This window comes from Homo sapiens, chromosome 12 (genome assembly GCF_000001405.40).
Source record: "Homo sapiens chromosome 12, GRCh38.p14 Primary Assembly".
NCBI lineage: Eukaryota > Metazoa > Chordata > Mammalia > Primates > Hominidae > Homo > Homo sapiens.
In genome coordinates this window covers 81,548,823-81,564,248 of record NC_000012.12, presented here as the reverse complement: position 1 = coordinate 81,564,248, position 15,426 = coordinate 81,548,823, and the positions used below count along the sequence as shown (strand labels likewise).

The following is a 15,426-nucleotide window of genomic DNA, read 5'->3' as shown; positions in this document are numbered from 1 at the left end:
ATTTCAAATGCTCTGCTTTTGAAGTGCTATTTGAATGATCAATGTCATGAATGTTCAATGAAGATGAATGATTTCTATGTACAATGTTTATCAGAATTAATAATACATTCAAAATAATTGTTTTTCATACTTATGTCTATTTTGCAAAATGAGTGTGTGATGTTTGATGTCATTCACACAAAAATCTTTAGAAGCCAATTTTTTATTCCCTTTTAAATAAAAAGATTTATGTTGAATACTTTTTTATTGTTTTTATATACTTGGACACAATGATATGTATTAAAGGTTTTTTGTAAGTGACTCATCTTCTATGATACCATACTGCAATGGCAAATATCTCTATTATAGCATAACACATTTTATTACAATTATTTGTGTACTTTTTCCCCTCACAAATGCTGGGACCATATGATTCTCAGCTTTATAACTTAGCATCTGTAATGATGCCTGCTGCATGATAATGGCTTTATATCTTTTAAATACACAAATTAATGAATAACGACTGACTAGTGTATCATCATAGATGCTAAGATTTAAGTCATTTATATTTAGAGTAAAGCAGTTCAATTAGCTGATTTTAACAGCGTGTGTTGATTTCTTCTGGTGAGCTGTAGTCTGTTTTCTCAACAGACCTCCATGCTGAGTAGAGGGGTTGTTCTTGAGTCATATTATGTCACATATTATGTCATATATTTAAAAGATTAGATGTGAACTAAGAAGAGGATTTTGGATTTAATTCACTAAAAAGGAAACCAGATTGCAATGAGTATGGAGTAAACACGTTTTTCCACAAGCAAGTTCCACAAGCTTTTCCACTTGAAAAGCAAGTGGAAACAGTGAAGTTGGACTACCTCTTTAAGAAGGGTAATTGTGGAAAAGAGAAATCTAAGACAGTAGAACAGAGGTTGTACATGTATGAAAAGCACGTGTTAGTAAATCCTTAAGTGCTGTCAATAGTGTATAATGTTTGAAGTTCAGGCTCAGGATCTAGTGGAGATGCCAGAAGAAAGGGGGACCCAGACTAAGTAGTGGAGTCACAAACCAGAGGAGATAAAAGACAGAAGCAATGACATAGACAAACTGATATACTTGGGCAGGAATATGTAGTGAAGTTTCTTAGGAAAGATAATTTAAAAACAAGAAGAACATATATATAGAAAAGAGGACAAGATGGAGACATTCACTCCTCAAAAAGAAAGACAAAAAATGAGGGCCATGACATCTCTGTTTAGACAATGTTCGTTGTCTATTGACATTGGCAATGACTTGCAAGAATATCTTTCCTTGCCTAATATCCTGAAAGAATGAATGTTATATTATCCTATTGGAAATATTCACTGTAAGTAGTTATTGTACATTCAACATACTCTCTCTTTTTTTTTTTTTTTTTTTTTTTTTTTTTGAGACAGAGTCTCGCTCTGTCGCCCAGGCTGGAGTGCAGTGGCGGGATCTCGGCTCACTGCAAGCTCCGCCTCCCGGGTTCACGCCATTCTCCTGCCTCAGCCTCCCAAGTAGCTGGGACTACAGGCGCCCGCCACTACGCCCGGCTAATTTTTTGTATTTTTAGTAGAGACGGGGTTTCACCGTTTTAGCCGGGATGGTCTCGATCTCCTGACCTCGTGATCCGCCCGCCTCGGCCTCCCAAAGTGCTGGGATTACAGGCGTGAGCCACCGCGCCCGGCCTCAACATACTCTCTTACAAAATGCCTACATGTTCTTGAAATATTCCTCAGTGAAACTTATTTACCTATCATCTTCAGTTCTAACTATATAAGTTTTCAATGTTTTCCCCTAATAGTGTTTTCTCTGTGACTATCTGTAGAATAAAAATAAACACTTGGCAGTAAATATAATAGGGTACCATTTTCAGAATTATTTTCATTTTATGTACTGGCCTAATTATTTTTGGCTATAATTATAATTTTATATTCAAAGAACATCAAGACAATTAACCCTTGGCTTAAAGTAGCATAATTTATTCTTCTTATAACTTACTACTTTTAGATGTATTCAATTTTTATGTTTCTTTCACTGGATTTTATAATTTTCTTTTTGTACCCTCTAAGTTACATTTCTTTTTCTGGAATGCTTAGCAACAGACAATCTGTTACAGACCTATAAAACTAGATCTGAAAAACATAAAGGCCTATCTTTTTAAGAGACAACAAAACTTTAGAATAAAAGAAGTACTGTCAATATTAACTTATTAAATGATTTTTATCTTTGATGATACCTGTTTTCTGACATTAGCAAAACATAAATGTGAACATGAAGTATTTGTTAAGGTTAAAAGAAAGTCTAGTTAGAATTTTGTTTGGTAAAACTTCATCAAAAGAATACTCCAGGTAGATGCATGGTTAAAGATAATAAGCTATTCAATGCAGACAAGATAAATCAACTCTTAAGCAGTTAATTTTTTTAAGAACATATGGTAAAGTTTGAACCAGACTCAGAAAACAAAAACCAAGCAAGCCTAGAAAGTGGAGACCCTTTGAGAACAAGTGGCTTTCACATAAGAAACCGAAGTTGGCAGCTTGCGTCTGTTACTAATTCCATCTGAACCCTATGCTATAATTTAAAAAAAGTGATTTGTAAAATTACCCCAGACAGCACTCCAGAGAATATAAAATTTATTTATCAGAGAGAGGGGAAGTAATAGGAAGATAGCTATATGAGCCCTTTGGACAGGAGTTTTTCTAACATACCAACAGATTTGCTTAACGTTTTTTTTGGGGGGGGACTCCCTCCTGTATTACCCTGGCACATCACAATCTCTACACTTACCTCATTAATTCATTACTGTATTTCTATTTGCTTCACATGAGAGATTGTAAGTTTTTGAAGCATGAACTGTGTCTAATTCTTACTTATACTATCATAGTTGCCTATCATATTAAAAAGCCTCCAAAATTGTTTTTCTAAATTATTAGCTATGCTAATTGAAATGTTATGTCTGAAACTAGTGAGATTAAATTTGCTGCAATATCATAAGGGAAAGGTGGAACATAGGAGACAGCATATTCTGTTCATGAAGTTTGCTCTTTGCCATCTCATATCATATACACAGCCTGGGTCTTTCTTTCTTCTCATGTAAACTACAATAGAAATAGATGCTGTTATCTTAAATGAATCATAGGAAAAAATTTGGAATGCCATTACACTTTTAAACTTAGTGAGTTATGTAAATCATTGCATAAAATAGCTAAGATTATATATAAATACACACACACATACATACACAATTAGTTTTTCATTTAGGAACAAAGCTCATTGATTTAAAACGTGGGCAGAAAGTCTTTTGCATAAAAGGTGATTTGTTGATATCTATTCTTCCCTGATCAGAAGTTTCAATAGATTAAAAATTATCAGCTGTTTTCAGATAGATTTATTTCTCTAAATTTTATAAATTTAAGCTTGTATGTTCATTAATAACTTATTCCCATCTTAATAGAATCAGAGGCACCTGTACTAGAGCTGAGAAATAGACTTACATCTCTGCGATTCCAAATACGACCTTTTTCTTCTATTCCATGCTTTTCTGTGTTTATAAATCTAGGGTTACATGATGTTGAAAGGCAGTAAAGGCAAATTTTTGAACACATTTAAGCTCAGTTAAAATATTTAGACCAAAATTTTAAGATCTGAAGAAGTATTCTCTGAGAGAGAGTCTGGTTTTCTGCCTGACACATAGGCTCTTACAGGACATTTATTAAATAAGTCAATCCAGTTTTTATTTATGAAAGAAGTAAGTCATCCTAATGAATTCTCCTAGTTCTTTTTTAAAACACATATGACTCTGCTAGTATTTCTATAAAAACAATCAGATGGTGAGGTCATGTAAGAATGTAAAACTAATGACATATGATTACCTTCCACCTTTCACATATAGTTCTACATCTAAAGCTAAATTAGGATTTGTTCTTTCTCTCCTTTGCCTGTTCTCTCTGTCTCTCTCTCTAGCTCTCTCTCTCTCTCACACACACACATACACACAGACACACACACACATACCCCCCACCACAATTCTGTTTTTTTAAAGACATGCCCGTACTTTTGATAATATTTTAAACACCTTTACCACACTACCTCTAGTATCTGTACCATTTGGACCTTACTTTTGTCTCTTTTACATTCCAGTCTACAGTACCTGTATTATTCAGGATCACAGGTATACGTCAATTCAAACCTCAGTTTAAAAGACAAGAATAAGAAAGAAGGCTCATAGCTCTTCAGTGTCTGTTAGTGCAAAGTGTAATAACGTGTTATATCTTGGATAGAGGAGGCCACATGTGTCAGCCCACAAATTAGGATTTGAACTTTCTATTTTGGCCAAAGGAGTCCACTGAGATAGGATGTTAATTTATTTGAAACGATGTGTGTCAAATTATTTGGGTTGGGGGAAATGAGACAGAAGATTGCAAAAAAACAACAACAAAAAAAAAAACAACTAAGCATCATGTAAAAAGCATTGGGTAAGAAAAATAAATGAAATGTAAAATCACTTAATAAGTATCTTGCATTTATAATTTCAAAGAGGTTTACAAGATCTCACCTAAATATAAAAAAGTTTTCCTTTTGATGTTTTTGAGAAATCCTTGACACAATAGCAATTGAACCCATTCTTAAGTTTATAACGGAGTTTCTAAGAAAAAGAGTCTTCTAATGGTACGTTTATAATTATAAGGGTATAATTTTTAATGTGCTTATAAAATCTCATTAGATCAAAGTCATCATTTTGATTATGCAACATGAAAACATTAACTTAGCTTTGGAATAAAAATTATTTTTCTCCCAATAGAATACAACAAAATAAAATTTGAGTCCTTTGAAGGACCCATAACACACAACAACTCTGGAATGACAATATTGTGTCATGTTTTATTGTCCTATAATATCCTTGCTAACTATTATATGTGCACACACACACATGCACGTGCATGCACATGCATCCACACGTGCAAATGCACACGCTGTTTCTACCACACCCACATTCCTTTTTAATAATGAGCATCAAGGTCCTTTAACCCTCTTATTGTTGAAATATGATTAGCTGATATTACCCACATTTTCTATCAGTTAGAGTACCTTGAAGCAATTCTTAACTCCTTTAAATAAATGAAGGGTAGTATTTTCTCTGTGTGTTTTAAAATTGTTTCAGCTATTGCACAAAGTATGTCTTTTTCAAATGGTTCAAAGATTTCTTAATTTTCAGGGCTATTAACTCTGAAATGAATTTAAGAAAATAGATTAAGCTAGCCAAGTAGCCATATATTGTAATTCAAGAACTTATCAGAATAAGTATTATACTTGTTCTAGTTTAGAAGGGACTATATTTTGGCCTTTTGAATACACAATACACTCTTCTAGAAATGACACTAATGCCATTGTGTGATATAGAATGGAAAAACACACATATTCGTAACATATATTATAGTGTGTGCTTCCCCAGGCCACTCCAGCCAGAGTGGAAATTAGAAAGTAGTAATCCCTTTTTCACCAGCTCTGCCCACACCTGCCATTACAGGATCAGAAATACATAGCCACCTCTTCAAGTATTTTTCAAGTCCCTGTAGATATCTTGGAAGTCCTCCTAAACAAATCCTTTGAGAGACTGTTAACTCCTTCTGCTGTCCTGGCTTCTTTGATGTGCATTGTTCTACAGCTCTGTGATCACACTGGGATGGGCTGTCTCCACTACCACCAATGTGCGAGGGCCATCCTATATTCCATGTGAAAGCACGGGAATGTTCTCTCCAGGTAGTGTAACTATTATTGATTTATTTGTATTTTGATTGCCTGAATTTTCTAATTATTGTCAGCAAGCTTGTATCAAATTGTAATGTGTATGAAAATATAGTTGCCCTAGGATAAAGAAATGTAGATCACAGTAACTACTGATCAATCTTCCATTCATTCTAAGTACTGGCTTACGTCCAAGCTCCACAACTTGAGAAGTACAAAGAAAATGTGGAAAAGCATGAATATGATTCTCTATATATTTCAACTTAGTTGCTAGAAGAATTGGGCATTATGCAATGATATTATTTATACACTAGGCAGAATGAGTCATCTACATCCCCTTTGAGAAATGAGCCACAACCTGGGAATTCAGAAAGTTTTATTTCATAAACTTGATAGATTCTTATCTTTTTAGGGTGATTTGAGTATAAATGGAGTATCTTAAGAATAACAAGAATAATGCAAAAACTGTTTAAACATTACTTTCCCTATTATAATGGTAGATTTGAGACAGGACCACCAATTCCAGAGATAATCCCCTATAATTGTGCTACCCAGATTAGGCCATGGCATGCCTTTACACACATTTTCTGAGTCTCAGATGGTATTAGAAAAATAATTTATGGCCAGAGAGTTTGTAATTATATTTTAGCATAAGCACTAATTCTCTCAAGACTATTAATACTTTTAAGTAAATTACACATTTAGTGAGCTAAATGCCATTTAATTTGAGAAGGCTCAGTTATAATCTGAAAGTATTTAACTCTGAGTAATGACCTAGCTTAGTGTATTTTTATGAATTAGCTTAAATTATAGAGAAAGGAAATTTCTATACCTATTCACCTATACAAAGACTAGTTTTAAAGATAGCTGGTGAAAACTGCTGAAATAATGCTGATTCCTGGAACAATTGATAGCTTTAATGATGAGATCTTTGAGTAAGAAAGCATTCACTGTAGCTATTAAATAGCTTGCTAGGGTTGACCAGTTTTAAAGATACTTCTCCACTTTGGTCAATGGGAAAGAAAATATGCAGGGATTTTAACCAAAGTAAGTTTGAAATTGGATGCCTCTATAGAAAGGATATAAATATCCATTTAAGATATGGGGATTTGGGGAGTCTTTACTCTATCAGAAACTGGGATTTGGGAATATCATGATGAATAAAAGATCTTGTCCCTCCACCCACAGAGTTCAGTCAAATTTCTAGACAAATATTTATTTAGAAATTACTCTTTATATTATTATACCTATACATACGTATAATATCTGTATTTTTATGTATATGTATACGTGTGTGTGTGTGTGTGTGTGTAGATATAAGATCTATATCTGTCCTCTCTAATGCATAGCTATTGATCAGGGAGAGAAATACACTTCAGTAAAAGCATATAAGAATGAGACCTGATAAATACTTCCTGTTTAATTCCTCCTTTTACTGCTGATGGTCTCATTGAGGGAAAAAAAAATGCCAGTCATCAAGATAACTTAGATCACTTCTACAAATATTTTAAAAAATATTTTCAGCAGTTAAGAAATTAACAGCTTGACTTTTATTGAAACTAATATTGAATTTTTATTGAAATAAAAATTAATTTTCAACATTCTTGCTGATTAAAAATGCAAATAAGTGCAAAAAGTGAAAGATGTGCAGTCCTCATGTACATCTTATATTTTAGCTTCTATTAGATTGATGGTGAATTTCAGTAATAAGGATCCCAACAATGGGTAGCCCCCAGGTTTTAGGCCATATGTGGAATTTCTCTCTTAAATTGGTTGATTATCACTGATAAAGTTTTGCTTGATTTTTTTTTTAATACTCCACAACCACGGAAGTTAATGTAGGGGGTAGATATATTGAACTATAATAACCTATCAAAATATTGATTAAAAACTTGCACAAATTTTCCCACTTGTTTGATGTCCAGCACCACTTTTCAACTTACCTAATCTCACCTTTAGCAATTAGCCTTCACTTGTAAGATAGCCTATTAAGTCCTATCAATATATGTTATGTTAGTTTGTGGAAAACAGTTCAGAGTTTTGCATCTTCTAATGTGCATGAAAAAAGGGTAAGACATTCTGTAGGTGGTTATGAAAGCAGAGTTAATTAAGTTTGACATGTATGTAGTTTAAAATGTTAGGACCCCAATAAACCCATTTGCATTATTCATGATAAGAAGTATTATTCAATTGACAGCCATAAACTTTTATGTATTCATCTGATTAATTTTGGTAAAATGACCACCGTGCATTTATCAAGGAATATTATTAGGCTACCATCACTTCAAAGTATTGGTCTAATTAATAACATTTCATTTTGATGAATAAGTAAAGATAATTGAAAAGTTGGAATATATAATATAACACACAGTATTTACAGTATTTGGAAATAGTAGCCAAATGATCCAGGAACACCCAGTCCAGTGTTTCCCACATATCATGGCTAGTTACAGACCAGTGATGTCAGAATCACCAGAGATGCTTTTAAACATAAACATTTCTTAGTTCCATCCCAACTAACACTTAATTTAGAGGATGAAACCCCAAGGGTCTCTATTTTTAAAAACTCTGAATTATCCTGATGGGCGACAAGGTTCAGAAAACACTGAATTTGACAGTGGCCTATTATATTTTGTTAGAGCCATATTTAAGTACCCAGAAGAAGCATAGCAGTAATATGTATCAAGTCTGTACCTTTTTATTGATCTGCAGACATGAGTTGTGGGATTCTGTATGTTTTCTTCTCTTCATTGCATTAAAATACTAGATGTTTTAAAAATCTCAACTCTATTAATTTACTGACTTACAGATTTGTGCTCTAATTTTATTCTTATCCTCTATAAAAAGAAATTGTAATTTTTTGTGCTTTGTCATCCCAAATGGTGAAAATATTAATTTAAACAAACCTATGACTAAATATTTCTTTTCTCCTCATGAAAGTCTGTCACTGTTTGAAAATTGTGCCTGTTAAGATTTATAAATTATCAATTTCAAGAATTGCAGAATAATAAAGCATAATATCTACTGGGAAACAGAAAAGGATTAATGTGCCAACATCATTCATTAATTAAAGTTATATCAATAAAATGTCATTTGACTAAGAGTATCAGTGAAGACGTTTTATACACATTATTATATCTTATGCTATATTACATACCATATGTCTTAAATTGGGACAAAAACTTTCCATTTTGAAATCATGGACTTAGATATCTAAATCAATATTACTTTATATGAATTTCCTACAACATATAATATGGGATATTAGAAAGACTATTAAAAAGGTTGTCAAATACATTAGAAAATACTAGTTTTAGAAGCATGTGTGTGTTTACAGATTTCTTAGAGCTTTTAATCTTCTCATCTATATAGTGAATACCTTGAAGGCAGACATAAAATATAGCACTTTGAGGATTCGTGTGACCACAAAACTGTGTGTCGTATTTAGAGGTGTTCTCTTTGAAAAATGCTGTTGTAAATGCAATAAACTTTTTTGAGATTTGATCACAAACTGTACTCTGAGATCCTATTCCCCCAAAAATGTCTATCTTTAGAGAAAGAGAAGACCAATACTTATTAGAAGGTTGACTCATCTCTGTTACTGAGAGTTTGAAATGATCTCACATGGTACTGAACAAGAAAAACTTTGGTATACATTTCTGAACAGCCTTCAGTTCTTGTGCTGAAATAACTGTATACGTTTTTAGTTCAGAAAACATTTATATTTCAAATCCCAGAACTATAAATGTCCACCTGATCTAAGATCAAGAATTATGTTCCCTTAATTGGAATACAATCGTTGTTCTTCTAAGAAACTATTCACTACACCTCAAACTCCCCTTGTTGCTTTGAGGACATGAGCAAATTAAAATCAATTCTTTTCAAATATCTGATCAGAAGATTTCTTGAACATTTTGTTCCTGGATCTGAGAAAGAGATAGTAGATTTTGTTGGATCTTAAAACTATTAGATGTAAATCTTGGTCAATTTGGAGGCCATGTGTTCCTCCATTATAATAAGAAAATTGGAAGAAGCCATGGTACAGAGAAAGAAAATAAAGATTTAGGTAGGAGCAGAGTTAAAAAGTGGAAAGTGACATTTCGGTTCCCAGTTCCAGTTGTCCCTGAGACCCAGACACATCCCAGTCTTTGAGTTCCAAGAGAAGCACCATTATCCTGAAAACATATCCCACTTTGGCTTAGGAAAATTTGAGTTGCCATCACTTTTTACTAATTAAGTACCTAAAATTATATCTCTCCTATACAACTGATCAAGTCCTACAAATTTTATCTCCTAGGTAAATCTTGACATCACTTGTATCCCCTTCTTCCTACTGTTGCCATTTTAGTTCAGACTTATCATTTTTACTTCAATTACTGAAGCACCCTTCAACTGAGTCTCCTCATTCTAGTGCTCACCTCTTTTAATTTATATTGTGATATTTAGTATAAATTGGATCAAATCCCCATTTCTAGCAAAAAAAAGTTGTATTAAATCAATTAATTTCTTTTTGCCATAGCATTGCCCTTAAAACTAAAACCAAAATCTTAAATGCCATGAAAACCATTCTTAATCTGGTTCCAAGTCACTTATCCAGCTCTTACCACCTACTCCATCATCACCATCAAAACAGACACTTTATATCTCAGTTATTTACTGTTATTGACAAAAACTCCAAAACATGGAGGCTTAAAACACCACCTTATCACTATTTTTTCTGACCAGGGAGTTGATTGGATAATTCTCACCCAAAGTCTCTCAATGCAGTTCCAATTGGAAAGCAGATGGGACTAGCATCATGCAAAGTCTTTGATGGGCTGGTGTCAAGCAAGGATGGTTTCTTCACTCACATGTCTAGCAGCTCAGTGCTCCTCTATGGCTCCTCTCTTCCGCAGAGTCTTGTGGTTCCTGAACTTCTTACATGAGGTCCAGGATTAGGGCTACAAGAAGCAGAAGGTAGAAGTTGTTAGGTAATTGAAGTGCTATGCTTGTGTCTTTTATGCTACCAACTTCTGCCACATGCTATGGGTTAAAGTGCTCACAGGGCCTGCTAAGATTCAAAGAAATGAAGTCCAGTCTTCATCTTGATGGGAGTAGGACAAGCTAACGTTCAAAAGAGTATGCAAAGATAGGATATTTTCTGGTATCCATCTTTGAAAAATACAATTTACCACCATTAATATTACAGGCACAGTTTTAATTATTAATGTATTCCTGAGTTAGTTACATTCTAATGCTTCTTGGTTTTTTTTCCTATTTTTATTTCCTTTGCTTAGAATGCTTCAATTTATTTCCCTTATTTATCTGGCTAAATCCTATTCATTCTTCAAACCTTAGCTCAGATTACAGCTCGCCTAAGATACCTTCTCTGGCCTCTCAGCCCGTGAGATTAATGCTTCTTCTCTGGAATTTCATGTATCCATGTGTTCCTGTCATACCACACTCTGTACATGAACTGTGGCTCTTTCATTAGGGGGAAAAAAAAATCGGTCTTTGATTTCTGTGTCCTCAGTGATGAGCAAAGTGAATGGCAGAGGACTCAGTTACTATTTATTATATGGAAAAAATGTGAATTACTCATTTGATTTTTAATAGGCTACATTACAACTACTTGTTTCGTTGTCGATGGACTGAGTGTAGGTGGCATAGATCTGTAATATAGTTTCTCTGGGTAACCTACATCATCAAAAATGACTAAAGCTACTTTACTGTTTAGCGTGAATGGGATCATATCTTCTAAATAGGAAACTACTTTTTCACTTATGTAAAATTTAGTCAAAAATTGAATTTAGAGTATTAATTGAACTGAGTTGTTTATTTGAATTATTATCATTTTGGAAAGCTACACACATGAATTTTTGATATTTAAACCACCAAACATTAAATAACAAAAGATTCATATTTTTCATTATATTGTTCAAACATATAATAAGTTTTTATTGATATAGTCATCATGATTGATAACTTAGATACTAGAAGGTACTGTTTCTTGACATTTCAATTGTAACATGTTTGGCAAGTCAGAAACCTATACATTGGTTCCAGAATAATACTTTCAATTTAGTTGCATCTATATTTACAAAGTAAATACCTGTCTCTGTAATTAACTGTTATGACTAAGTCTGTTCAAGAAAAAAAAAATGTGTATATTACACAGTGCAGTTTACACTTAGAAGGGGACACAATGTAATATGAAATAATTTACTTAACCAGAAGGTTTTCTTACTTTCTCCTCCTGCATAGAGTTCTATGCTTACATATTTAATAGTGTTGATTCTTCAATCCATAATTTCTGAGGTTCTGATTAACCTTATAAAGTAGTTTTGCCATTTATTTCTAAAGTTCAATAATTTTGGTTATTATATAGTATTATTTTGGTTACTATAATAGTGATAAATATTATTGAAATTATATAAACATTGTTTTTAAATTAATTATTAATTTTATCTATTAAAATTGTGTAAGTTAAATAATTAAGTTCTTTAAATTGGTTATACTGAAATAATTTCTTAGAATTTTTGTGTTCAGAATATTCATCTAGGCCTCAGTATAGGCATTTAATTTAAAAGCATCTTGAATAAGAGAGAAATTAAAGTAATTAATCCAGTTGTAGTTATCTAATAAAAAATAAGATTCCACAGTATCACCTTGTTTCCTTGTTCTTTTTGAGAATGAGTGAATAAAACAGAGATTGTAATTAAGGAGGTCGTAAAAGGATACATAAATATGCTTATTTGAAAAGACTTTATATATACAATACAAAAATCACTTCTAAAATAACAGTTTCACACACTCAGAAGTAAATATGATAGTACACAAATAAGTAACTATAAAAACATAAGATTTCAAGAATAGATTACTGTTGTCCTTTGCTATCCATGGGGGGTTTATTTCACCCCTCAGAAACCAAAATCCATGGATGCTTATCCTTCACTATACTTTAGATCATCTCTAGATTGCTTATAATATCTAATACAATGCGAATACTATGTAAATCATGCAATGTGAGTGCTTTGTAAATAGTCACTTTGTTTTTATTTGTATTTTAAATTGTTTTATTGTTATTTTTAATTGTTTTTTCCTGAATATTTTTTATCTGTTTGGACATGGAAGGTGGACTGTACTTTCTAATGACAGAATAGCTTCCTTTCAAAATGATAGTATGGTAAAATAATGAAATTAACTAAATTTAATAATGCAGCACCTGATAGTAAAACATATAGTCCATGTTTCATTTTGGATATGGCTCACCCCAGAATTTCATTTGCCATTCATCTTTTCATTCATTTATACCATAAACTTTATTGAACATCTGCTACATGCTAAGTAAGTCCTGCTGTCTGACCTTGATGTGTTGGCAGCAACACCAAATTCTGAGCGTACATTTCTAGCCTGATCATTTTCCACTCACTGTAATGTGTTTATCCTAGTCATGCCAATAAAGTTGCTTTCTCTATCTTTTCTGTTCTTCTACTTGCCAAATTCAATAACTATTTTTTACTCTCTTATTTGATCTCAATGCATCATAATGCACCATTTATCACCATTGATAACTCCCTCCTTCTTGAATTCTTTCATTAGGATTCTAAGAAAGCGCTATCACCTGGTTCTTCCAATTTCCTTCTGAGACCTCTTCCCATCTCAGATTCTTCCTCTTTTTAGCCATTAAATATAGATTTTCCCCCCAGAGTTCAGTCGTTAGTCCACTGGTCTTCCCCCTTAAATGATTTCCCCTTGTATCTTTATTGACATATTTGCCTTTGCTGTTTTAATGGCACCTTGAGTTTATTTTGATTAGTTCTACTAAAGAACTAACCTCAACATCCCCTATGCACATCAATATCAGCATAAATCAAATGTCAAACTAAAAATCACCATTGGATATTTTAATGCTGTTCTGCAGAGATGCCTCAGCCAGAAACCTGAGTTCCTTGAAACCAAACTCCCAACAGGAAATCTGTTTCAGATCCTCTACTGTTTACTTCCACAGCCTGTCTTACTTAGACCTTCAAAATATATCACTTAAATCCCCTACCTTCTGTCTAATTGGATCACATCGCTTCTATACATACCCTGTCAAAGATATCCAATTACTATTTTTTCAAATAAATTATCGTTATGCCTTGACAAATGTTTTCCCTGGATCTGGAATGCCTTAATTTCCCAAGTGCCTAGCAAATTCTTATTCATTCTGAAAGTCTTAGCTCAGATGTTTCCTTCTATGTGAATCTGTGAGCCCCTAGACCTCTAATCCCCAGATTTTCCCTGCTCCTTAAACCCATACAACTCTATTATAACACTTAGTGCATTGTCTGTAACCTTCTTCATTTGTACATTTTCCCAGGTAGACAGAGTTTCGAAAGGGCAGAGATTTTTGTCATTTACTCTAAGTCTCTAGTGCCTCCTGCTAAGTAATTCGTCAATTTATTTGAGATTAAAGACAATATTTAGACTAAACTGTTTTTGTAATAGGATATTTAAAGGGTCCTTTCAGAAAGAAAGCTATCTTTGCCTTGGAATATACCTTAAAAATCTTAGTTTTTTGTTTTTGTTTTTGCTAAGATAAAAATTATTTGGGGATGGTTTAGTCAAGCGAGGGGAAATAGAGATTAAAAAAATAGCTTCATATAATATGTTAATTGGGATATATGGATGTGGAGAGAGAATAGAGACCCCAGCAGGAAAATGACCAGCCAGACAGCAAAATGACCTGCCAGTGAGTAGAAAACATGGCTAAAAAAGAAAATCTTAAAATAAGAATGCCTTATATTCTGATTGCTATTGTTTATGCATATTACTATTTGATCTATGATTATTGTTTCTTACCTCATAAGCACACAAAAGCCTTATGTGAGTGATGTTTTGAGAGTGTCTAATGGAATGGGACATATTCAAGGATTTAGTGAGATAAGAACATTGGAGCGACCAGGTTGTTGCAAGAATGAAAACTCCTGTATACTTAAAAGCATCAAAGAGGAATGCATTAGACTTCCCATAGGCCATGATATGGGGACAGCAGTTAGTATTATTTAACTATCAAAATGAGGAAGACTCTAGTTGACATCTAGGTCATATTTTTAGAGAAACCAAAAGTTCTATCCATTCTTGTGGTGTCTCTAATGTGTATCATTATGTATCTTAAAAGTAGATTTTTTTCTTAGAATATACATTAATTATCTTCTAATCAATTCAAAGATTTTATTTCTAATTATGAATAATAGTGACTGATATCTTTCCAGTAAAACATATAACTCTTACTCAACATCACAGAAGAACTGAAGGCTCTAGGAAGATAGCAGCAAAGCTAGAACTGTATATAAATGAAAGTAATAATAAATATACATGCCAACGCTCTTCCCAGAAAGGCAGATATCTCTAAGGGATATATTCAGGTTGGGACAGATGGGAGAAATGATTCACTACTTGTGTGGAGGCAAGCTATGGCTCAGAGACATTAATTTTTACTATTTATTTCTCTTGCAGGAAACTAAGCTTCCTTATATTTTTGCTAATAAAAAGCTTACCAATGAAAGCTTTGAAATAACACAAATATTGTCTTTGCATATTTAGTTGTATAGTTCCATAGTAAGTACCTGCAGTTTCTTTGTTTAAAATCATGATGTCTATTCCAAATGGGCAAAAAGAATATGTTTTTAAATGCAAAATAAAATTTGCTTAACATTT

General features: G+C 33.0%; 1 protein-coding gene and 1 long non-coding RNA gene across 45 annotated transcripts in view; one reads left to right on the top strand and one right to left on the bottom strand.

Annotated features, from left to right (window-relative positions):
- The window catches only part of PPFIA2 (PPFI scaffold protein A2), a 501,376-nt gene that overhangs the window by 195,102 nt on the left and 290,848 nt on the right, over positions 1-15,426 (top strand). The window lies entirely within an intron of this gene.
- Positions 6,103-15,426, bottom strand: part of PPFIA2-AS2 (PPFIA2 antisense RNA 2) — a 141,042-nt gene continuing 131,718 nt past the window's right edge. Inside the window, exon 3 of the long non-coding RNA NR_199032.1 lies at positions 6,103-10,682. This is a non-coding gene — a long non-coding RNA (PPFIA2 antisense RNA 2). The remainder of the gene's footprint in view (positions 10,683-15,426) is intronic.